Source organism: Homo sapiens, chromosome 18 (assembly GCF_000001405.40).
Source record: "Homo sapiens chromosome 18, GRCh38.p14 Primary Assembly".
NCBI lineage: Eukaryota > Metazoa > Chordata > Mammalia > Primates > Hominidae > Homo > Homo sapiens.
The window spans coordinates 36,797,199-36,822,078 of record NC_000018.10 but is presented as its reverse complement, the minus strand read 5'-3'; the positions used below and the strand labels follow the sequence as shown (position 1 = coordinate 36,822,078).

At 42.4% G+C, this 24,880-nt stretch overlaps 1 protein-coding gene across 16 annotated transcripts in view; it reads left to right on the top strand.

Moving 5' to 3' along the window:
* The window catches only part of TPGS2 (tubulin polyglutamylase complex subunit 2), a 48,979-nt gene that overhangs the window by 6,924 nt on the left and 17,175 nt on the right, over positions 1-24,880 (top strand). For 8 of the 16 annotated variants that reach the window (XR_007066142.1, NM_001271956.2, XM_017025701.3 and 5 more), the window contains 5 exons: positions 3,106-3,185; positions 14,145-14,232; positions 16,577-16,705; positions 21,768-21,881; positions 23,470-23,630. Coding sequence is in view for 14 of the 16 variants with exons in the window: in NM_001271956.2 (NP_001258885.1) it covers positions 3,106-3,185; positions 14,145-14,232; positions 16,577-16,705; positions 21,768-21,881; positions 23,470-23,630 (572 nt within the window). In the remaining 2 variants the exon portion in view is untranslated. Of the gene's footprint in view, positions 1-3,105; positions 3,186-14,144; positions 14,233-16,576; positions 16,706-21,767; positions 21,882-23,469; positions 24,062-24,880 lie in introns of those variants that run through there. The other 8 variants (XR_007066143.1, XM_017025702.3, XM_005258242.5 and 5 more) reach the window with 4 other exon arrangements.

The following is a 24,880-nucleotide window of genomic DNA, read 5'->3' as shown; positions in this document are numbered from 1 at the left end:
CCACCACTACAACTTCCAGCCCTCTGAGACCAAAACACCTGTGAAACTATGCGAGAAGACCTGGTCTCCCCATTTGTTCTCTCCTCATCTGCTGATTCCCTTCTTCCAGGCTTTATGAAAGTATGTTTCCATGCAGGCATCCCAGTCACCAGAGGGAGTCTAACTGCACTGGAATGTAGGAAATGAGGTCTTTAGCTAACCAGTCTAAAATAAAGGAAAGCACGCCAGCGGGGAACAGGAGGAGGTGTTAATTGAGCCAGTCTGCAGTAACTGCCACATCATCCTTCAAGGCCCAGATCAGCTGTGTGCAGTTTCTGATGTTTTCTATCACTCACTCAGTCTTTGTCAACCTCCCTCTGCCTTCAACTCCTGTGGCTCTGACAGTCAATGTCACCTAGTTTAACACATAATTACATATTATCTTGAGTTTTCACTTTTGTTTCATGTTTGTCTTATATATCTAACTAAGCAATAAGTTTCTTGAAACAGTGTCTCCTACTTAAATTCCTAATCTCTAGCATTAATTTCCCAAAGCTTAGGACATAGCAGGTCCTCATTAAATACCTCAGAGAGACTGTTTTTCACTAGAAAATATATTCCAGTTATCAATCACTGGATAACAAATCATCTCAAAACATAGTTTGCTTGAAACAACAATTAACTGTCTCTCCCAGTTCTGTGGATTGACTGGACCAGCTGGGGTAGTTCTCATTTGGGGTCTCTCAAGTGGTCGCAGTTAGATAGCAGCTGGGACTGGAATCATCAAATGGCTTCTACACGCTAATGTCTGCCCCCCTCAGTACTTCTCAGTATGCCCTCTCTCTCCAAAAGAGTAGCTTGGATTTAGTATGTGATGGCTCAGGAATCAAAGAAAGGCAAAGAGAGACTGCCAGTTCTCTTAAATTTTAAGTCCAAAACTGGTACACCATTTTTTCACAATATTTTATAGGGCAAGGCACTCACAGGCCAACTCCAAACTCAAGAAGTTGGAGAAATAGACTCACCTCTCAATGAGAAGTGCTATGGGCATGCAGGGAAGGAAGGAATTGACAGCACCCACCTTTGGAGTAAGCTACCACAGAGAGTTTTAATCCACGGCATATCTAAAGATGTGAGTTTCATCTCTCTTACTCTGCCATGCAGGTTATTCCAGCCAGGTGGCTGACAAATGCTTGTCATTGGTCACAAAGGCAGGACAGGGAGAATGGCTATGCCTATTCAGATATTGCTTCTCATATATGGCATCTTGATAGGCCAAGAACAATGTATAATTTCTATTGCTTTCCAAACATCCGCAAAATGTTTTTAGTTATCTCACCAAAATGATAGGCTACTAAGACAACATGATAAAAACAGCATTAGGTTTGGTGTCCACAGCTTTGGTCAGAGATTTCATTTTATGAATTACTTAACATCTTTGAACCTCGGTTTCCTTATCCTTAAAACGAGGGTAAGGATACCTGCTTTACAAGATTGTTGAAAGATTAAATAGGATAATTTATGCCCATTTCCTGTAACAGAGAATTATACAAATGGAATTTATTGCATGCCCTTCTCTTCCATATCCCCAACACCACCTCCTCACCAATTCTGAAGTACTGTGTCGGATATAGGAGTCTCTACAATGGATACTTCCTAAGCAACTTACTATCTGAAAGTTATTAAAGTCAACATGTTGGCCAATTACCTTGCCATGGGAGTATTCCAAGCTTAAGTATGACATGACCACATCTGCAGTAGCATCACAGTAGTTTTGTCTGAACCTATAACCCTTCCATGGAGGCCTGTTATAAACAGTAAATAATTGTATGTGTCCTCTTTCAAACCCAAGGTCTATTTTTACTTACTGAAGGTAAAGGGAAGTGAAGACCCATCTAAGGTCATACAACTAGTAAATGTATAAAGCAAGACTAGAATAGGTAGAGTCTAGAATTCTTAGTTCCTATATTGGGCTATTGCTGCATCCCAAGATTTGAGTTTCTGGCAACTTGGAGGAAATTTTATAATGCATAAAAAGGACACTGGCTTAATTATAGGATCAGTGAACCACATAAAATGATTAGAAGTTTCTGCCATATTCCTAGAGATTTTAAAAACTGAAGCTACCCTCCTGTGTCAGCCTCCCAAGTAGTGGGGACAACATGTATGCACTGCCATACCTGGCTACATGTTGTTCTTTTTATGAGGAGGGCACCAATCATTGGACTAGGGATCTACTCTACTTCAGTATGACCTCATCTAAACTAATTATGTCTGCAGTAACTCTATTCCCAAATAAGGTCATATTCTGAGGTACTGGGGGTTAGGACTTCAATATCTATTTTTGTGGGGGTGGGGACAGAATTCAAGTCATAACAGCTTTTATGACAAATTTTAAGTCTTGGATTAAGGACTTCAGAATCTTGAGTCTGCATGGCCACAGACAAGTGGAGAATGTTGGAGGAGGTATTGAACTCTGTAGTATTCCCAGGTGGCTTCTGCTCTCCCTCAGAGTGAATGATAGAACACAGCTCCACAAAGAGAAGCAGACCAGATTATTTGGAGACCTTTTCCCGCTTCAAGGATTTAGAAATATGACTTAACTTTTTTCTTAGTATATTTTTGGATGGAATCCATTTTTTATGTTAACCCAGCTTTGAAATCCTAGACCTCACAGAGTAGAAGGTTATGTTCAAGATGAGTTTTATTTAGAAGAAAAGTTAATAAGCAAGTTTTATGTCTTATAAAAGTTAATGGGTTGCTATTCTTTATTTCTTTTCACTTTATCCTGAGTATATAGATTTAGCTCACTGAGAATTTCTGTGTGAAATCATTAGGAATCTACAATCTCTGTTTTTTGTTCAATAAGATTAATGACTGAGCAATGACAGTATAGAGCACAGTCTGTGGATATCCTTTCTATCAGGTAGACTACATTGTCCTAGGTTATGGGACCATGCCTTTCAGAGGCCAACCAGTTCTCTGCTTTCATTACAGGGGTAATAAGTGTTCATGAGAAGGATTGGATGTTCTTAAGAGCAGTCATCAACAGTTAGTCAACAACTAGCGTAGAAATGTATGACAGCGGACCAATTGCAACTCTACAGACTCTTTTTTCTCTTCCAGAATCTTCCCCAGGTGTGACTGAGGTGACCATCATAGAAAAGCCTCCTGCTGAACGTCATATGATTTCTTCCTGGGAACAAGTAAGTGTTGCCACATGAACTCTACCTCCCATCAAAGAGAGGTCAGTGTAAATGTCCCTGAGAAGGAAAGATTAGGGGAGGAAGAATATTTACTCAGACCACAGCTGCTTTCAAGGTAGAGTTTACCTTTTCTATGTTCCTGTTCAGCCCACTTAACAGTTCCTTTCATTCTATGCCACTTACCCAGCATGGAGTGTTTCCCCTGAGCCCCACTCTCCTACAGAAGCAGTGGACATTCAAAGTTGTGTACAACAAAGCTAAAAATCAATTAAGGAAAAGAAAGGATATGTGTTAATAAGTGTCATGCTGTCCAGAACATGATTAAGTGTTGCACATAACTACTAAGCAGATTAAAAGCTAATGCTTTCCAACTTTCCTCTGAACTTCAATTCGTTTATTCAATAAAAGTTTTAAGCTTCTACAGTGGGCCAGACATTGTGCTTGGTGTTGAGCCCTGGGGATTAAATGGTAATATTTTTTTTTTTTTTTTGAGACAGAGTCTTGCTCTGTCTCCCAGATTAAATGGTAATTTTTTAAAAGGCACTGTTTTTGCCTCTTGATCTTACTGCCTAAGACATAGTATAGATTGTTATGAATGTAATTACTAACTGGCCTGAGTACTGTGAAAGAGAGGTAAAGGGAGCATTGTCTGGAGACCTGCCCTAGTCTAGAGGTTGAGAAAAGTTTTCCCAAAGAAGCAATAAGAAATTGTTAACCAGGTAGATGGGATCTAGGAAGATGGGACTTTCAGCCTCTATGAAAGCTTCAAGATGGGAAGGATTACATTGTTCTGAGATCACAAAGAAGGAGCACAGGAGAGCAAGGTAGAGAGAGCTCAGCAAGGACCAGGACATTTAGGGCTTCATAGGTCTTCAGCAGTTTACTCCTTATCCTGGAAGCAAAGGGGAGTCATTGAAATGTTTTAAGTAGGGAACTTTGAAGTTAGATTTATACTTGAAAGGACCACTGTGGCTGTAGAGTAACAAATGGATTTGACTGGGGCAAGTGGCAACAAATTGCCCTACCATTTAATAAATACCTGCTAACACTTACCCCATAAGTCATTCCATACTAAATGAATAATAACCCTGCAAGGTGGGTATTGGTATCTCCATTTTATAGATGAAGAAACAGAGGCTGAAAGAGTTTAAAGAATTTGGCCGGCACAGTGGCTCATGCTTGTAATCTCAGTGTTTTGGAAGGCCAGGGCAGAGGATTGCTTGAGGCCAGGAGTTCAAGACAAGCCTGGACAACATGGCAATACTCCAGCTCTACAAAACAATAATGTTAATTAGCCAGGTATGGTAGCACACACCTGTCCTCCCAGCTATTGGGGAGGCTGGGGTGGGAGGATCCTGTGACCCCAGGAGGTTGAGGCTGCAGTGAGCTATGATCACACCGCTGCACTCTAGCCTGAGCAACAGGGCAAGACCTTGTTTCATTTAAAAAAAAAAAAAAAAGAAAGAAAGAAAAATTTGTTCTGAGTCACATAGCTACCAAGTGGCAGAGCCTCAATTTGAACTTACAGTTGCCTGCCTCTAAGAACATGTCCTTTCTGCTCTACCAGCGTGCCCCTCTGACAGAGGACAACACCATGGGAGTCTTGCCCTCAGCAGGCAAGCAGTCCTGCCAGCCTGACTCCCCTCCCTGGGCTGAGCCAGCAGCAGCTTTTCTGGCAGCTCAGTAACTGGGAGTTGATCCAGGACCTCAGCTCAGCAGCATCCCAACTCTTCTCACTCAGCCCCCACCTCCATTTCCACTCATAGCCCATCATAGGAAAAGAAAATTCCAGAACAGTGGCTATGAAACTCTTATTGGCTGATCCTGTCAACACCTGTTCCTGGTACTTCTGTGACTATGCCAGTCTGGCCTCATTGATGTTGTTTTGTTTGTTATGAATAACAGTAACAGAAAAGATATGATGGAGGACATTTCTCTTGATTCTTTTTGGGCTTAGGTCAGCCCTTTAGGTATTAGTAGAACTGCCAGGCTGGCGTGGTGGCTCATGCCTGTAATCCCAGCACTTCAGGAAGCCGAGGCAGGCAGATCACGAGGTCAGGAGTTCGAGACCAGCCTGGCCAATATGGTGAAACCCCGTCTCTACTAAAAATACAAAAATTAGCCGGGCGTGATGGTGCACGCCTGTAGTCCCAGCTACTTGGGAGGTTGAGGCAGAAGAATCGCTTGAACCTGGGAGGCGGAGGTTGTAGTGAACTGAGATCGCACAACTGCACTCCAGCCTGGGCAACAGAGCAAGACTCTGTCCCCACCCCCAAAAAAAAGAACTGCCTCAGGGCTCTTTTGTGAGAGTCAGATCCTCGTGTTTTCCTGTCTGCTGAGGACCTGGATTGGAAGGTGAGAGGACAGGAATGCCTTGTCTAGGGTGGAACACTATTATGTTGCTTTGGAATAAAGTGATTTCTGAGGCATATTCTTCCTTGTGTCTTGTACCATACAGTCCTTAGAGCTCTTTAAGGAGAAGACTTTACCCATTTATCCCAGTTTTACTTATACTGTAGTTTCTTCATTTGGAGCTGCCTTCCATAGCTGAGTTTCAGGGATAGAGTCTGCAGGGGATCTCTTGGGATCTAATCTGCCTCCTGGACAATGCAACTTTATTAGGTTCCCTTTTAGCTTAGACTGACACTTAGGGAAATGCAGTTGTAGTGCTAGATAAATAGCCATCAGAGGTCTAAAAGGATTAAGGGGTAAGCATGAGAGAAAGAGATTTTTAACTAACTGAGACAATTAATGGAACATTTTCTTCAGACATATTCATTTGGGAGAATACTTGTGAAGGTACCTAAAATAATCAGATACGTAGATTTGGAATTTTCCTTTGAGTTCTTTAGTTAAAATATCTCAGATCTAAGTTCAAATATGCCAAATCTAATATACAAACAAACAAGGTGTGGTCGTGCACACCAGTAGTCCCAGCTACTTGAGAGGCCAAAGTGGGAGGATTGCTTGAGGCCAGGAGTTCAAGAACAGCCTGGACAACATAATGAGACAACTCCTCAACCCCTGTCTCTTAAAAAATAAGTAAGTAATAAAAATTTTAAAAATAAGATACTAACAGTATTAGGATCAGTAATATAAAAATGTTTCTTTCACCTGAGTTTGGCATGTCGGGGCTTGTAAAGGCCTGGGATGCTTGGAAGATAAGATAGCCTTTGGGGTGTGTACCTTTTGTTTTAAGATTCCATTTTTATGTAACACTTTTTTTCTGATTATGCTAAACAAAACAGTCAAAAAGGTGTATTGAAAATACAAAAAAAAAGTCTCCTAGGATTTTCCTACCTAGACATAACCACAGCTGGTGTATTTTTGGTTATGTGTGTGGGTGGAGGGTAGGCATTGGGATCCCTTACAAGTCCATGAATGGGAAGTTGTCCGTGGACTCCTTGAAGTGTATGTCAGATATGTTTTTTTTGGGAGGTGGGGGAAAAGGCTTTTTCAGATTCTCAAAGGGACTCATAACCCCAAAAAGTTTAAAACAGGTTTTTGTATAATTTTTTCATTCAAAATGGGGCAATACTCAACATGCTATTTTCTTACCTACTTTTGTCTCCTAAGCAGTGGAGGGTAGAAGTTTTGGACTGCTCTGTAACTCGCTTGTCTCACTTTCTCACCCTAGAGGTTACTGAAGAGCATGTTGACACAGGAGCAGGCTTGATAAGCCACCCCTGCTGTGTGCCTGCTTCCAGAAATGCCTGTACCAGAGAAGCAGGAGGATCCCAAGGGGCTGATAATTCCTACTTCTCTAGAGAACTGACCCTAGAGGCCTGTCTCCTTGGAGACACCTCATTTAGAGCCCAGCCTCCATCTGGTGTACCTGGTGATCACAGCTGCATAAATACATTCAGATAAGGCCCCTAAGAAGGGGCCCTTTGCCCTTTTGGGCTATATTTGCCCAAATATATCCAGAGCTTTGGAATAGCTTCCAAATAGAGATCCCCTGCAGACTCTATCCCTGAAACTCAGCTATGGAAGGCAGCTCCAAATGAAGAAACTACAGTATAAGTAAAACTGGGATAAATGGGTAAAGTCTTCTCCTTAAAGAGCTCTAAGGACTGTATGGTACAAGACATAAGGAAGAATATGCCTCAGAAATCACTTTATTCCAAAGCAACATCGGAATAAAGTGGAAGCTATTTCCAGAGCTTCCTCTGGGAAGCTCACTGAGATATGTTATACTAGTAAGGATATGGAAGCATTTTGATGTGGGAAAAACACACTGGAGTAGAAGTCTTATGCCAGCTCTGGACCCTTGGCTAAGTAATGTAACTTCTCTGGATCTCATGTTCATCATGTATAAAATAAGTAATTTGAAATCAGTGTTATTGAAGGACTCGTCCAGGTGTAATCTAGTCTTTTGTGATTCTATACTGCAAATCCAGGAAGAAAGATTGACAACCGAAACCTAAATGATCATATACCTGCTTCAGTCCCCTGAGGTTGGAGGGAAATATGAACAACCTTTTTCCATGTTTATATATTTGACCATTTTTTCTTCTTAAATACACAATTTCAGTTTGTCTGCCTCTGTGCAGTTGTATGATTCATGTTCATTGTGCCTGCTACCTGCCTTTTGTCATGATGGTCCATAGTAAGGCCCAGTGTCTACACTGAGCTTTTCATCTTTCAAGCACCAGGAAAGCATCTGCCTCTTAGTTCTCATAACATCCTGGTGCCAGAAGAGTTATGTTATTATTAAGCATTTCAGTGACATTTCATAGTTGCAGACGGCTTTACAATTCTTGATTGGTTACACCCTCCAATCCCCAGATAAAAATTCAGTTTACTGATGGTGAAACCATGGCCCACAGAAACCAAATGATTTGGCAGAATATCTCCTTTTTTTTCAGACTCAGTTTTTCTACAGTCTACAGAGTGGGTTCTGAACCTTCTTGAAGATCTGTTTGTTACACGCCCCACTGTGAATTTATGATAAGCATTTCCAGTAGAAGAAATCATCCTGCGACACCATGTGACTAGTGACCCCCTCACTTCATGCTCTTACTCTGCCTGGGAGATTCTCTGTGTTCTCCACCAGTCAACCCTTCTCTCTAGCACTTCACTTCTTTCTCCTGGCAGCTTCCCCATAGGGGCTTCCCATCTCTTTAAAATTAAAAACAAAAAACCTTCAACGTATATCTCCTTCTAGCTATTTAGCTATTTGTTGCTTTTCATGCCAAGTGTGTAGAAAAGTTGTCTACACCAGGGGTTGGGAAATGTTTTCGTTAGAGGACCAGATAGTTTATGCTCTGGCGTTACAGTCTCTGTCACAACTACTCATTTCTGCCATTGTAGCTGTGAAAGCAGCCATCAAAAGTACTGAAATGCATGTGTGTGACTGTGTTCAAATGAAACATTTTTACAAAAACAGGTGACAGGGTGGATCCAGTGGCCATAGTTTACAAATTACCATCCTTCCTTCATTTCTCAGTTATTCATCCTGCCACAGCCTCTCTTTAGCCATCACCATTCTTGGATACCATTCTGTCAAAATCACTAGGACCTCTTCATGGCTAAAGACTTACTTCATCTCACTTGGTGTGGCTCCTGCATGCCCCACAGTTAGCCACTCCCTTCTCTGCTAGCCTCTCCTCCCTTGGATGCAGAAGCAGAACTCTCTTGATCTTTTCCTTCCTCGCAGACTCTTCCCTCCTAGTTCTCTTTGCCCCTTCAGCTCCACAACACTTACCTATTAAACATTTATCTCTATTTAAATTAGGAATATGTTTGGCTTAAGGAAAGATAAACTAGCAATAGCTTAAGCAAATAGGAATTAATATTTTTCATGTATCAAGTCCTGAGGTAGACAGTTGCAGTTGGTTCATCAGTCCTGACAATGTTAAGCCGTTATCTCTGTAATTATTTTGTCCTTTTTCTTTATGGTGCCTCTGAGTAGAAAAAACACACACTGTTTTTCCTCTCCTGTTACTCCGCAACAATCAACACAGAAAATTTCCATGACCAAATGTGTGTGTGTTGCAAGGGGGAGTTCCCAAACACATCAACAAGCTATCAGTTCTGCAGTGAATACCAGCTGGGTGTCCTCCAATTCAGTTCCGACACTGTCTCCCTGGAGATAGCATCAGATCCCATAGGTTAAGGGCTCAGTCTCACAAGACTGCCCTCACTTCCAATGCCAATTGCAAGTCCCAGGTTGTTTTACCTGTGCTTCTGACCCACCAGCTATAAATTGGGGTTCCCATGACCCCCTCCTCAGGTTCAATTAATTTGCTAGAGTGGCTCACAGAACTCAGAGGAACACTTACTTAACATTTACAGGTTTATTACAAAGGATACAGATGAAGAGATGCACAGAGCAAGGTGTGGTGGGAGGGGCGTGGAACTTCCCTGCCATCCGAGAGCACGCCACACTACAGGAACTTCCATGTGCTCAGCTGTCCGGAAGCTCTTCAAACTCTGTCTTTTGGGTTTTTATGGAGGCTTCATTATGTAGACATGATTGATTAAACCATGGGCCATTGATAATCAACTTACCCTTCAGCCCCTCTTCCCTCCCTGAGGTCAGGGGGTGGGGCTGAAAGTTCCAACCCACTGCCTGCCTTGGTTGTTCTGGTGATCATCCCCCATCCTGCAGCTACCTTGGAGATGCCAGTCATTTGTCAACTCTTTAGCACACAAAAAGATGTCACTTTGGAGATTCCAAGGATTTTAGAAATTGTATGCCAGGAATCTGGGACAGAGACCAAATATTTATTTCACAATATCATAGTGGCAAAATAACTGCTACAGTCTGAGCTATCATTTCCAAGCTCAAAAAACAAAAAAGAGGTAAGGGATGTGGCCAGGCATATCTGTCACCTTTTAACAGGACAGTGAAAGTTTTCTTAGAAACCTTCTGTTTTGGACTTGTGTTTACATTTTAATGTCCAGCAGTAATTGCAGGAGGTTCTGAAAACAAGTATTTAATAGGACACATTGCCATCTCAGACAAAATGAAGGTTCTGCCAAGGAGAAAAAGGAAGGTGGATTTGAATAAGCAATCCATGTGTCTGACACAGCCTTCTCTGCCCCTTCCCTCATTTCTCTTTCTGTTTCTAGTGCCCCACACAGTATTTATCCCATAATAGATACTTAATAAATGTGAAATGAGTAAGTGAATTAGATAAAACGCAAAAGTCAGAAAGAGTGTCGAGCCTTCCCAAGGTTGCCTAACTTCTTTTCCACAAGCAATCCTTAATTGCATTCCTGAGACTCAGGCTACCACACCCACCATCTCTGAAGCAGAGCAGCTGTAGATGCAAAGGCTTCCCCCACTAATTCCCCCAGTGGTAGAATTTTGATGATTATATAAACTTGAGGGTATTACTCTTCTGAAGGTTGCCTCATATGAGCTCTGTCAGACACACAGCTTCACCAAGACTTGTGGTGCCTCTAGACAGGCCAATATTTATATATTTTTTTCTTCACGTATTTTTAGAGGGAGACTAATGGTTCTGTGGAGAAAGGATTTTGGAAAAAGTATGCTACCTTTCCTTTGGCTGTTAAGCAATGCAGCTCTGGCCCCAAACTCTCATACCCTACTCAACAAAACAAAAGGGTTCAGTTAACCAAGCCCTCCACCTCTCCTAAGGTGGGAGTTTGAGAATATATTTGGGAATTCTCTTGGGGATCTCACACCATCCCTCCACAGCTCATCCAGGTTTTCCTCCACTTCATGGAATGTCCTCCCTGAGAAGAGTTTCAGGAGATGCCGTTGTGCTCATTGCCACAATTTCCAGCAATGTTCTCATGCTCCTTGATGGACGTCCTGGGCAGCTCTTCACCTGGCCATGGTTGCAGACCAGCCAGAGAGCCAGCTCAGCATGGACCAGCACCTACAGAGACATTGATTTCTGTCCTTTGGGCCCTATGCTGACCTGATCCTGCATCTGCTCCCTAGTTGGGAAGTGGCCTCTAAAAGTGAGGGGAATAATGGGGTGCAGGATTGTCCAGGAGTAGAAAAGGTGAGTAGAAGGCAATGGACAGCCCCTAGCCCTTCCCTTGAGGCCCAGTGCTATTGGTTTTCTGGAATCTTGTTGATAGCTCCCAAAACAAAAAAGTGGCTCAGGTCCTTCATCTGATGAAGTAGTAACAGAGCTTGTGATGGACTCTTTCTAAAGTAGCTTAAATAAACCATTGTAGATTATCTCAGGAGAAGAAAAGAAAGATTAAAAATTAGGAACTATGTGACAGAATCACCACTGGGCTAGAGATTGCAGATACCATCTTGATGCAATCAGCTGTTAGTTCAGATACCAGTCGTTGTTACTCTCCCTTGTTGGCTTTCTCCCCAGACCCTCTCTCCAATCCTGATATTACCCTCCTCCATTCACTTTCTGCCGATCTTCCTCCTCCCTGCCCTCCTATCACACCCCCCAAAATATAGCCTGGGCATGGATCTGTGTGGGAAGAAGCCCTCTGATGTGGGCAGATTGCTCCCTGTGGAAAAGCAAACTCTTTTCAGGTTGGTTAGAACAGAAATTTTAAAACGGCAGTAACTGAGTCACTGGCCAGAAAAAAAAAATGGTGAGATACGTTAAAATTAGGAGAGGTTGTTTACTTTTCTCTCCAACCTTAAAGGACTGAAGCAAGTATGTGGTCATTTAAATTTTGGTTGTGAACCTTTCTTCCTGGATTTGCCCCACTCAGAAGAGCTACATGCAGTAGGAAGGCTGGAGAACTGCAGGCCCAGCAACTGCCCCAGGGGTGCTTGGGGCAGAAGGGTCTGCAGCAAAAAGCAGCAGAGTCAGGGCCGCTAGTCGTTTAAATTAGAATGACAGTGAGGGATTGATGTTTTTCATGAATTTGGTTTACTTGAATATTTTTATGTATATTAGTATTTGAAATGTGTGTTAAATATTTGATTTCACAGATTTTTTTCTATTTGTATGAATTTTGAATAATTGTAAAAAATATTGGTATAAAATAATACCAAAACTTATTTCTTGGGTGAAATAAATACCATAACAAATGTTATAATTACTATTAATTACTGGAATTATTCAGCCTGTCTTACATATGAACAATGCCAAATAGTCCACCTGCCCTCAGCCTGGATCTCATGGAATCCCCATTAAGAAAGGCGGATAGACAGTAGTTTCCTTGTCTTCACCACTAGATGGCACTAGTGATCAAAATGTCAGAGCAATGCTGTCCTTTTGGGGCGACGAGAGGAGCAAGGACCTTGCAGAACACTGGTAACTGTAGGCTTCCTGTACCAGGGTTTTAGGAGTGGGAGAAAGGCATTCTGCAAGTGCATTTTTTCTTCTGAAAGCACAGATAATGTGGCCACACAGGAGGCACTAGGAGCAAGCCCATTACTCCTAATAATAGGAAAACAAATTAGTCCAAGGAGTCTGAGTCTCTTAAATTTCACATTTATGAGACTGGGTACTAAATAATGGACACAGAAAAAACAAAACTTGATCAGAACATACATTTTAGTTCATAAATAAAAGAAATTTAAAACCTGTTTCATTAAAATGACAGCTGTTGTCCATTTAATAATCTAAAAACATGCTTAAAATCTCCGGCAAGCTTGAAGCTTTCTCTTTATCTATAGTTCCTGAAGATGCTGTGGCTGTGAATAATAATAATTTCCTAGTCTCCTCTCTTCCTGTCAAACTCACACCCCCTCGTACTGCCAGTGTTCTGTATATTAAGTCTTAGAGTTTATTCTTGAACCTAGATTCACAGAGTGATGTGTTCGTCACTCAGCTACTGGCAGAGTTGGGAAGTGAACTCAAATCGTCCTTCTACATGATGCTTTCCCATGCATTGGGTACCTAGAACTGACTGACAGGATGACCTAATGCAGTCCTGACATAAGCAGTTGTCGGTATCACATCTCAGAAGGGTCCAGTAAGCCACAAGCTTGGATAGTTATTAACATGTTGCCTCTTTGCCTCTGTAACTACATCAAGAAGTCACTCTAGGGGGCCCAGGAAATGAATTGGAGAACTCATCCTTTGCACATTCCAGGGATTTGAGTTGGCTAGGGAAGACTGGTCATACACACACACAGATGTGAGTTACTTAGAATGTAGGGCTTGTTCCTGGTATCTCCTGAAGGGATACTAAGTTTCTTCTTTGTTCTCTCCAGCAACGGTTTGGATGATTTCATATCCATGGATATGTGAAATATTTGAGTATATATGGTTACCTTCTAAGAGCTGTCAGAACTTAGACATTGCATAAGTTTTCTGGAAATGATATACTCTTCACTTTGTTTTTTTTTTGAGATGGAGTCTCTCTTTGTCACCCAGGCTGGAGTACAGTGGCACAATCTCGGCTCACTGCAAGCTCCGCCTCCCAGGTTCATGCCATTCTCCTGCCTCAGCCTCCCGAGTAGCTGGGACTACAGGCGCCCGCCACCACACCCTGCTAATTTTTTGTATTTTTAGTAGAGATGGGGTTTCACCATGTTAGCCAAGATGGTCTCCATCTCCTGATCTCGTGACCCGCCCACCTCGGCCTCCCAAAGTGCTGGGATTACAGGCACTCTTCACTTTTAAGATGCTCTCATTTGTCCAATAATTTGTTTCAGAAAATAATATATGACCATGGGTCTGATATGTACGGCAGTGATTGCTTTGCTTGAACATTGTCAGACTTTACCTAGGACTTCCCCTCTTGCCATGTTCCCCTGTCTCCTCTTCAGCTTGTTCCCTTTGAGCTCCTTTGCCAGGTGGCTGCCCATTGAGGCATTATCATGGCAGAGCAGGTACCTGGTTTGCATTAGCTGCTGAAGAAAAAAAAGGCAAACTGGAACTCTGCTTGCAAGACCCCAGTGCCTCTCTAATAGAGTTTTGTAGGTGACTATCAGAGCCTTCCTATTTCAGGGACGTATAACATGCTAAACGTGTCCCCAGTGCCTTAAGCCATAGCCCTGTACCCTCTTTCCCAGCCCTTACCTAACACTTAGCTGCTTTGTGATTCTAGAAGAATAACTGTGTGATGCCTGAAGATGTGAAGAACTTTTACCTGATGACCAATGGCTTCCACATGACATGGAGTGTGAAGCTGGATGGTGAGTCAGCCTCCTTGTAGGAGAACATTTCCCTGGCTGAGAGATTGAATGGGACAACTCTGAGGGCCCTTCGACTTTTGAGTCTTTGAATCTGGATGGTTTTCATGGGTGCCCCTCAAGTGCCATGTCCAGAAGCTGTGATTATGTCCCAAAACTAACAGATGCCATCATTGCTTCACCCACCACAAATCCCACGACAGTCTAGCAGTATGGAACTGGAAGTTCAATTTAGAGGATTCCTGTAGGAATAGGGTAGAGAAAACCATTAATTACTACATAAAAAACCCTAGCCACCTCAAACTTAAAGCCTCAGAGGGCTCTACCTCCAAGCAAACCCCTCAGGGTAGGCGGCAGTGACAGTCTCTAGTGTTGATGAGGGGGCCACTTATCTCTTTCAGGCTCTTCCTTTATTCCCACCATCATAAAGACCTTAGGGCCCTAATCCTCAAACCAGAGTCTTCGCTTCTCTCCTTCACATCACCTCAGCCTAAGTCACCAGCTACCTCAATTCACAGGCTGCCATCTTTTGTCTAGGACAAAACATTTTTGTGTGGATGTGGGAACTCACAAGTTTGTACATGTCAGATTGTAGGTACTATGTAGGCATAAAAGGCAGTGCTGAACATTTAGGTGAAGACTCTTGAAAACATTTCATAGTCTAGAAAACCCTGTCCAGCCACAGGAGCCCAGCCCGTTCGTGGCACAGATTCCCCAGCCCCTCCCCTCCAGTTCCTCCCCTCCAGTCCATTATTGTCTCTGACTCCAACCAGATCTACTTTGGCCTTGGGAAGTACCCTACATTTCCCCACTGCTGTCCCTAAAAATGCAGTGACTTCTGTTGTACTGCAAATCTACAGAGCAGACTTCTCCCCTTTGTTGCCTCGGCCTTCTACCTACACACCTGAGTTCTGTTTGGGTGATTTCCAAAGCCTTCCTGTCTATCTTGCACTGCTGGTCAGAGGTACTTTTTTTTTTTTTTTTTTTTTTTTTTTTTTTAAGATGGAGTCTCACTCTGTTGCCCAAGCTGGAGTACAGTGGCGCGATCTCTGCTCACTGCAACCTCCGCCTCCCAGGTTCAAGAGATTCTTCTGCCTCAGCCTCCTGAGTAGCTGGGATTACAGGCATGTGCCACCACACCCGGCTAATTTTTGTATTTTTAGTAGAGACAGGGTTTCACCATGTTGGTCAGGCTGGTCTTGAACTCCTGACCTCATGATCCGCCCACCTTGGCCTCCCAAAGTGCTGGGATTACAGGTGTGAGGCACCGCACCCAGCCAGAGGTACTTTTTTATAGCTTGCTAGTGAATATTGAACATTAGCTTTTATCTTAGAATCATTTCCTCCTTTGGCTTAGAAACCATCCTTGTCACCAGCATCAGAACCTTCTTTTATAGCATGGCCGTGGCTTTTGGTGTCTGGAGCAACAGAGAGGGGACAGAGACTAAACCAACTGACAGACTTTCCCTGGCCCACATCCTTGCAACAGGCTAGCCCCTTTATATGCCTGCTTCAGAGAATAAAATTTTATGAATGAGTCCCAGTTCATTATTGCAATACCCTCTCTAATTTAATCTCCCCAAGCCCAGTCTTCTTATCCCCATTTCCATACCCATGATATACTGAACAGCCTAAGTCAGAGACAGAAAAGGCAGCAGAGGCATCTTCTGATGTTTGCCTCTTTAGTGGTCTTTTATTCTTAGACATTCCATGGTCTTTACACAGGTTGTTTTATTGCTTTAAACCATTCCAGTTTTTTCAGCAAATAAAGAAAACATGGAGCTTCCTAGTCTGTATTTACACCCTAATCACAGAAGACTAGAACCAAGCAAGAAGACTGCCAAATTCTCATCACTGAGTAAGGGAAAATGATAAAGAGAAGGGGGGAATTTTTTTTTTAATCATGAAAGCTTATAACAAGAAGAATAGAAGGGGTCCATTATATAATCAAAGCTATTACTCCTTCAGAAAATGTTTATGCAGAATACTTGCTAAACAAAGGAAAGAGGGAGCAAAAACATTTTAATGTCCTTTACCCTTCAAATGTCCCAAAGCCCAGATTTCCCAGTTCTTTGTTGGTATTCCCTTTGAAATTTTTCTTCCACTCTACCCTAATACATACAATGGGGGCTCTTCATCACCCGTGGCCCCCAGTTCCTTTTTTTGTATGAAAGGTTGGTACTTTGGAATATGCAGTGAGTAATCCTCTTCTTCCCACCTTCCATCAGATTCGTCAGCCATGGGGCGAAACAATACCTGGGCTTAGGTTATTCAAGCAGAATCTCATGATAACCATTGTAACTAGGCTGTTACTCCATGTAATTCTCCTTAACGCATGTTCCCCTAGAGCACATCATTCCACTGGGAAGCATGGCAATTAACAGCATCTCAAAACTGACTCAGCTCACCCAGTCTTCCATGTATTCACTTCCTAATGCACCCACTCTGGCAGACCTGGAGGACGATACACATGAAGGTAGGAAGATACCAAGGTTGGTATCTTTGTTTCCAGCATCCAGCTCCATGCCTGGCGCATAGTAGGTACTTAATGAATCTTGGTGCATGAATGAATGTTAAAGATTAAACCTCACTCAACATTTCAGTATCAAGAGGATTCAGGGAACATGACAATCTAAATACAGCTCCTTTCCTCTCCATTTTTACCTCCAAGCTCTTTGCCACTTCTGAGTGAAATGGCTCATAAGTCAAGTGGCTGCTAAAACCTAGGAGCAACTGGGTATAAGTGAGGACTTAGTCAGAGTTGTGTTTGGTCGCATATAACAGATGTAGTTACAATGTTTAAATAGCAATTTATTTTTCTCATAACAAGAAATCTGGAACTAGGCTGATGTCGCTGCTTGAGAAAGTCAATGATAAAGTCTCCCTCTGGCATTGTGCTGCACCAGGCTTTGGATATGGTTTTCATCCTTATGGTTGAGGAAGGTGGGCTTTTCCTGTCAGGAAAAAAGATGAGTAAACGGCAAAGGGCAAAATACCTGGCTGTTTGCAGAATCTCTCCCTTTTGATCAAGAAAACAATGGTTTTCTCAGCAGCACCTCCTAATAGCTATTAGAAGAGTCAAATGGCAACCCAGGTTGCCAGGGGTCTGAGAAGGTAAATACTTTTAGTTGTGCAGTATGGCTTCCTTGAACAGAACTGGGCTTTCATTAAGAAAGAAAGGAAGAACAAATAGTGAATAGGCAACTAATGTCTCCAATACTAAGACCTTGGGGTTCACTAAGCCCTGGCAGAGAAAACTGATGTAAGGCTTTCTCCTCCGATTGGATGAGCAATTGAAGAATAGTACCAGAGAAGTTCGGGGGCAGAGGCTAGACAGTGATGGGCCCTGGAAAGAGCCTGTCACACAAAGACTTGTGGAATTTCCAGGGGTAGGAAAAAGGTCTCACTGTCTTTATATGTATGGGGTGGGCTTCTCTAAAAGGTGAAGTAGTCAAATAGGTGGGCTAAGTCTTCCCTGCTCTTGAGGCTGGAAGAGAAGAGGTAGAGTAGGTAACAGAGAGGCTTCATGGGATCACATTGTTCCACATACAAATGGGGATAAAAACCACTTGGCCTTCCGACACCTGCTAGATTCATGCATTTTAGGATAGTACAACAAGTATACCTAAGTCTCATTAAACCTAAATGGAAAAACAGTGACTTCTGTCAGGGGACTCAGCAGTCAGAGAGAGGATCATCAGCAAAAAATAGAATACACAGTAAGCCGGGAGCAGTGGCATGAGCCTGTATTCCTAGCTACTTGTGAGGCTGAGGCAAGAGGATCACTGGATCCCAGGAGATTGAGGCTGTAGTGTGCTATCATCACCTCTGTAAATCGCCACTGATCACCTGAGCCCACGAGTTTGAGGCTGTAGCATGCTGTGATCACACCTGTGAATAGCCACCACACTCTAGCCTGGGCAAAATAGTGAGATCCCGTCACTATTTAAAAAAAAAACACAACCAGAGAAATAAAACTGCTAGAGGACACAGATAAAAATCTAAGAACAAGAATACTTAAGGAGATTTAAGACAACATAAAGACTTTCTATGGATAAAAACAAAGATTCTCAAACAATTGACTACATGAATTGAAGAGGAGTATATGTATTTTATTGAGACCTGAGTTAGCCTGAAAAATCAAGTGCAAGAAATATCTTAAAGCATAGATGAATAAATTTAAAAGAGGGGAATTATGAGGGAAAAGGTAGGAATTAAGAGAAGTGGAAAATAGATTCAGGACACTTTCCATTGGAATTATGGGTGCTCAAAAAAGAGAAAATAGATGGAAAGGCAGTAAATACATACTAATAAAAGACACCTCTCTGCAGATGGAAAGGGCCCACCTAGACCCAAGTTGAACAGATGAGAAAACACAGACACTGATGCATATACTGATGTGGAGAAAATTACAAGCTTCTAGGCAAAAATAACAAATTACTTGTGAGGGAATAATAAGCACACTGACATTAACTCAGCAGATGAGGACACAAAACCCCATGAATGAGAACCAGCACAGATAACAGGTAACAGATCAGCAGTGGTTACCAGAGGCTTGGGGTGGGGAGGCTGGACAGGGAAAGGGGAAACGTTGGTCAACAGGCACAGTTTCAGTGAGACAGGAGGAATAAGTTCTGGTGATCTATTGCACAGCATAATGACTATAGCTAATAATGTATATTTCAAAATAGCTAAAAGAAAGGATTTTAAATGTTCTCACCGCAAAGAAATGATAAATACTAGTGGTAGATATGCTAATTAGCCTGATTTGATCTTTCCACAATGCATATACATCTTAAAATAGCGTGTTGTTCTCCATCAATATATAAATATATACAATTATTATTTGTCAAATAAAACAATTAAAAATAATTGTCAATTAAAAAAATAAAACTTTAAAAAAATTTTAATCAAGAAAAAAGAGGGCCGGGTGCGGTAGCTCACACCTGTAATACCAGCACTTTGGGAGGCCGAGGGGGGCGAATCATGAGGTCAGGAGATCAAGACCATTCTGGCCAACATGGTGAAACCCCGTCTCTACTAAAAGTACAAAAATTAGCCAGGCGTGGTGGCGGGCACCTGTAATTCCAGCTACTCGGGAGGCTGAGGCAAGAGAGTCACTTGAACCCAGGAGGCAGAGGTTGCAGTAAGCCAAGATCATGCCACTGCACTCCGGCCCAGCAACAGAGCAAGACTCCATCTCAAAAAAGTAGCAAAAGAGATCCATTGGTACAGCTAAGAGTGACGTTATTAGATACAGAGTACAAAACGATATGCTTATATGCCCCTGTGGAGGTAAAACCAAACTAAAATTTCAGGGAGGAACTGAAAACGGTGACATTGTAGATTTGAAAAAAAAAAAATTCGTATATTGACATTGTGTTTATAATATGGCAGAATCTCTTTTACCAGAGCAAGACTCTGCAGGTAATACTCTGTACTCTGGAAGAATTTTAAAAACGTGTCTTAAAGGACTGGAGAGTAGTCAAAAGCAGGCAGAAGCTGGAATGGTGTCTACAGTTGGCAGAAGGGAGCCACATTGAGTTTTCTGTTCTTACAACTTTTCAACTGAGGGCAGACCTCAGTCAGCACCAGGCAGGGCTGCCAAAACTTGGTGGGAACATATCAACTGGACTTTTTATTTCATCCAAGATGGAGTAACAGACCAGATTTATCTACCCACCTGGAGCAACAATGACAAACAACAGACAAAATATATAAAACAGTGATTTTCAAGCACTGATATGAAAAATGCAGTGGTTTGGATTATTGGTGGCTAAGACATTGCAGAAGAAGAGACTAGAGAACTTCAACACATAATAGAAGCTATCTAAAGTTACACAGAACAAAAATTATTTATAATGAAAACAGCATCAGTGACCTGAGGGACAACATATGGTATAATGTATGTGTAATTGGAGTCTGAGAAGAGGGGTCAGGGGCTAGCAAATATTTGAAGAAATAACGGCTCAAAAGTTTACCAATCATGGGAACTATAAATCCACGTATCCAATAAGCTTAATAAGCCAGGAACAAGAAACACAAATGATAACAAGAAACACCATAATCAGATTGTTCAAAATCAAAGATAAAGAGAAAATCATAAATGCAGCCAAAGGGAAAAGACAAATTACATACAAGAGAACAAAGATAAGGATAACAGCATATTTCTCCTTAAAAGCAATTCAAGTGAGATAAAATACTCAAAGGAAAAAATAGGTTGTTCAGTCATTCACACCTGTAATCCCAGCACTTTAGGAGGCTGAGGCCAGAGGATCACTAGAGCCCAGGAGTTTGAGATCAGCCTAGGCAACATAGCGAAACTCCATCTCTACAAAAAATTTAAAAATTACCTGGGTATGGTGGCCACACCTATGGACCCCAGCTACTTGGGAGTCTGAGGCAGGAGGATTGCTTGAACCCAGGAGGTCAAGGCTACAATGAACCATGTTCACATGTCACTGCACTCCAGCCCAGGTGATAGAGTGGAGACCCTGTCTGTCTCAAAAAAATAAAATAAAATAAACCTAGAATTCTATACCCATTAAAATATCTTTCAAAAACAAAGGACTTCCAGTCTGTCTCCCTGGATCTTAAAAAGTCCTTTTTGAAGAGCAATCTGGCAACATCTATTCTATTGCAGGGAATCTGTCGCATATAATGAAAGCACCAGAATATAAGGGCATGTACAGAGAAGATTATTGTAGCATTCACAACCAAGTAATGGTAGGCAAATGCCTATCCATAGAGGAATGGTGGAATAAATGAGGGTACGTCACTCCCACAGACTATGAAATAGTCATTTAAAAAGAATGAATTAGAGTTATGCCACATGACTTAGAGGGCTTTTACATGGTTCTGACCGGGCGCGGTGGCTCGTGCCTGTAATCCCAGCATTTTGGGAGGCCAAGATGGGCAGATCACTTGAGGTCAGGAGTTCGAGAGCAGTCTGGCCAATGTGGTGAAACTCCGTCCCTACTAAAAATACAAAAATTAGCCAGGCGTGGTGGCACATGCCGGTAGTCCCAGCTACTCGGGAGGCTGAAGTAGGAGAATTGCTTCAACCCGGGAGGTGGAGGTTGCAGTGAGCCGAGATTATGCCATTGCACTCCAGCCTAGGCAACAGAGTGAGACTCCATCTCAAAAAAAAAAAAAAGAAAGAAAGATTCAGATAATGTGTTTGCTATCCCACTTTTATAGAATAAACAATCTCAGGAAAGGAAATGAAGTTATGTCAGCATCAAGCCATTCAGATTGCTCTGTGGTCCCACTTCCAAGAAGTTTGCTTTCTCATGCCTCCTTTTCCCAGATTCCCTGACATTGTCTGTTGCTGATAGAGAAACCCAGACAGAAGGCCTAGTCCATGAATGAGATTAGGGCTTTAATTCAAATACAGAATTTATTTGTAAATACTACTTAAGTATATGTCTGAGATAAGGCTTTTTCCTTCTGTTTTTTCCACCTAGCAAAGTTGGATATATAGGTATGTGTTTGAGTTGAGTTTGTTTGAACATTACCATTAACTTCTGGGTTTGCAGCCAGTGATGATCAGCCAGAGAAGCCTCACTTTGACTCTCGCAGTGTGATATTTGAGCTGGATTCATGCAATGGCAGTGGGAAAGTTTGCCTTGTCTACAAAAGTGGGAAACCAGGTAAGAATTGTTTACAAGCGTGGTCCCGTAGTTTGGCTAGGGTCTTGCCTGACCTTGCTTGTCAGCCATGGCTCAGGAGACACATACCTCCTTGGCCTCTTGAGATGCTCCCAGGTTCCTTGTGTGTCCCAAACCCAAAAACCCCTTTGGTTCTCTCTGAGCATCACCCTTTGGGCTAATTATTAGTCCTTTTATCCATCTTCATTTGTGAGTTATTGCCAAATAGTTGATGAGATTAGAATATGGGAGTAAAAACTAAAAGAAATAGGCATTTTGTTAATAGACTCCTACAGCAAGTTCATGTACTAGATAAGCATCCAGAAAACACATTATCTTTTATACTTCTATATCTAGGCCAATTAACAGCAATAAAAACCTGAATTACTAGACCAAAGACCCCTGATGGGAAATTAAAAGCCTCTCTGCCCTCAAGCAGCAGCTGCCACCTAGCCCCCTAACAGCACTTCAGACCCCAGCCTAGGGACTGTGAAACTACAGAGCTGGACAATGGCAGCCCTCTTCAGCTAGCTGTCTGGTAGGGGTGAGAGGATACAGACACCAGGATTTACCTCTGGGGCAAGGAGAAATCATCCAGCCAGAGGAATTGTTGCAAAGTAGTCATGGAGCTGCATCTTGAACTGTGGGGTAGGAATTAGATACCGGGTGGGGAGGAGGATTTGGTGGAGTAAAAGAGACAAGGGAGCATCCAAGCAAAGGGACAAATGGGTAAAAGCCAAGCCATGGGAAAGTACAATTGATTTGTGGGGAATGACAATTCCAATTCAGTGGGCCACATGGTTCATGTAGGGGGTGAGGAGGAGATTAAGCTAGAAGGCTAATTGCTGTCTCTGATGCAGAGCTTTGAAAGCAAGCAAAGGAGTTTGGACATAATGTGGAAGACAGTGGGGAGCTAATGAAGGTTGTTTAGTAAAATGGCAGGGATCATGACTACCAGCAGTTTTGGCAAAGAAAGAGACTGGATGGATAATGGAGGGCACTTAGGGAGATATTATAGCTATCTAGACAGCAGAGGAAGTAAGATAGGCTTGAAGTAGTAAGAATGGAAAGTCACAAACTGGGAGGCAGGACATCACAGTATAGGCAAGACTCCCAGGAGTGAACTGGGCTAAGCTCCTTCATGGTGGTTTTTTGTGGCACTTTTTGTTTTTCATGGCACCGATAGAGACTTCTTCAAAAAAACCTAAGCCATTCAGTGTTTTTCTCTCTCAGGAAAGCTGAGACCACAGTATTCCGCCCCCCTACCGGGGGAGGGGAATGCTATGACACACAGAAAAGGAGTAGCTGCCTAGATAGCCTGACTGGACTTCCAGATGGTCAGAGACCAGCAGATAGATCAATCTACTGATCTAGCAAAAATTTGTAAGAGTATCAAAGGAACTAGTAAAGTGGCCACTAGAGAAGGAGACTGGAGGGTTAGAAGTGGGGCAGAAGGGGAACTTTTACTTTACATTTTCCATTCTCTCTGTTGGGATTTTTTTTTAAGGCCATGAGTATAACCTTTTACAGTTAAAAAGAAAAAACTGTTAAGCTATTCTTTATCTTTTACTTCCTTTGTCTTCTACTTCAGCATTAGCAGAAGACACTGAGATCTGGTTCCTGGACAGAGCGTTATACTGGCATTTTCTCACAGACACCTTTACTGCCTATTACCGCCTGCTCATCACCCACCTGGGCCTGCCCCAGTGGCAATATGCCTTCACCAGCTATGGCATTAGCCCACAGGCCAAGGTAAGGGAGGAACACCTGCCATTGTAAACTATGGTATATTCCAAAATCTACTGAGGAAATGGTTACATTGCAGGTTCCCAACTTCCCTATCTGATTCAGGAGATCTAGGGTGGGGCCCAGGAACCTGCATTTTCAATAAGCAAGACAGATGATTCCAATGGACAGCCTCACTTTACTCATCTAGTTAAGTGGTTCCCAAACTTGACTGATTCTCAGAATTAACTGGGGAGTTTTATTTTTAATGAAATTCTGTTGGATAGTTTATGTCCCATGACTTGTTCTGGGTTGGCAGTACATGCACCCAGGAAGAGTGAAAAGTCAGATTCTCACTCCCCTGTTCTCCAAGTGTGCATCCCCAGTGGCAGCTGCTATTACGAGTTTCCTGTACGCCCTTCCCAAGATACTCATTGCACATAAAGCATGCATGCACACTTTTGGTGTTCCTTTTTTCTAAATCTCAAGTGTAATGTACTGTCAACATGATTCTGCATCTTGTTCTTTTCACATAACACTCCATCTTGGGGCTTATTCCCTTTCAGTACATTTAGGGCACTTGTCCTCTTCAGTGGCTACAGAGTATTCCATTGTGTGGGTGTGCCTCATTTATATTACAGGTCTGGTCACCATTTCAGGCATACAGATGCCAGGTATACAACCTGGTTTGAAAACACCAAGTGTGGCTGGAAAAACTTTTGACTAGAATGAGCTCATCTGGGCTCCTTCGTGGTGGTTTCTTGCAGCTATAAATTAGCAGCAAATTAGGAACTCAGCTCCAGCTCACCTTACTGTGTATGTATTCATCTAGTAGGCTTCATTTTCTTCAAATGTCACATAATTATAACATTTATCTGGTCAACATTGAGAGGCGGCTGTGATTTAAAAGGTAAATAAATGTGGATGCCCTTTGCCCTCAGCTGCCAAAAAAAAAAAACAGTAGGAAACAGAACACCAACAAGATACAGCATCCCTCAGCAGAGGCCCACACTAGCCTCTGTCTCCTGCCTTTCCTGGGGGAATGGTGCTGCCAGAATCCACCTGATGGGGAGTAGCTGGTTTGAGGGCAGAACAATAGACGCTGTCCTCTAGTGCTTTGGGATCTAGCATCCCAGGCTCAGGACTCACTAAATCAGAAGGAGGTGTGCTCAGATTCTTAGTTTTCATACTGCATTTATCTTAAAGGTCCTGAGACCTCATAAAGCAATGTGTCTATCTTACCAGAGGTTGATGGGATCTGTTATCACCTCCACTTA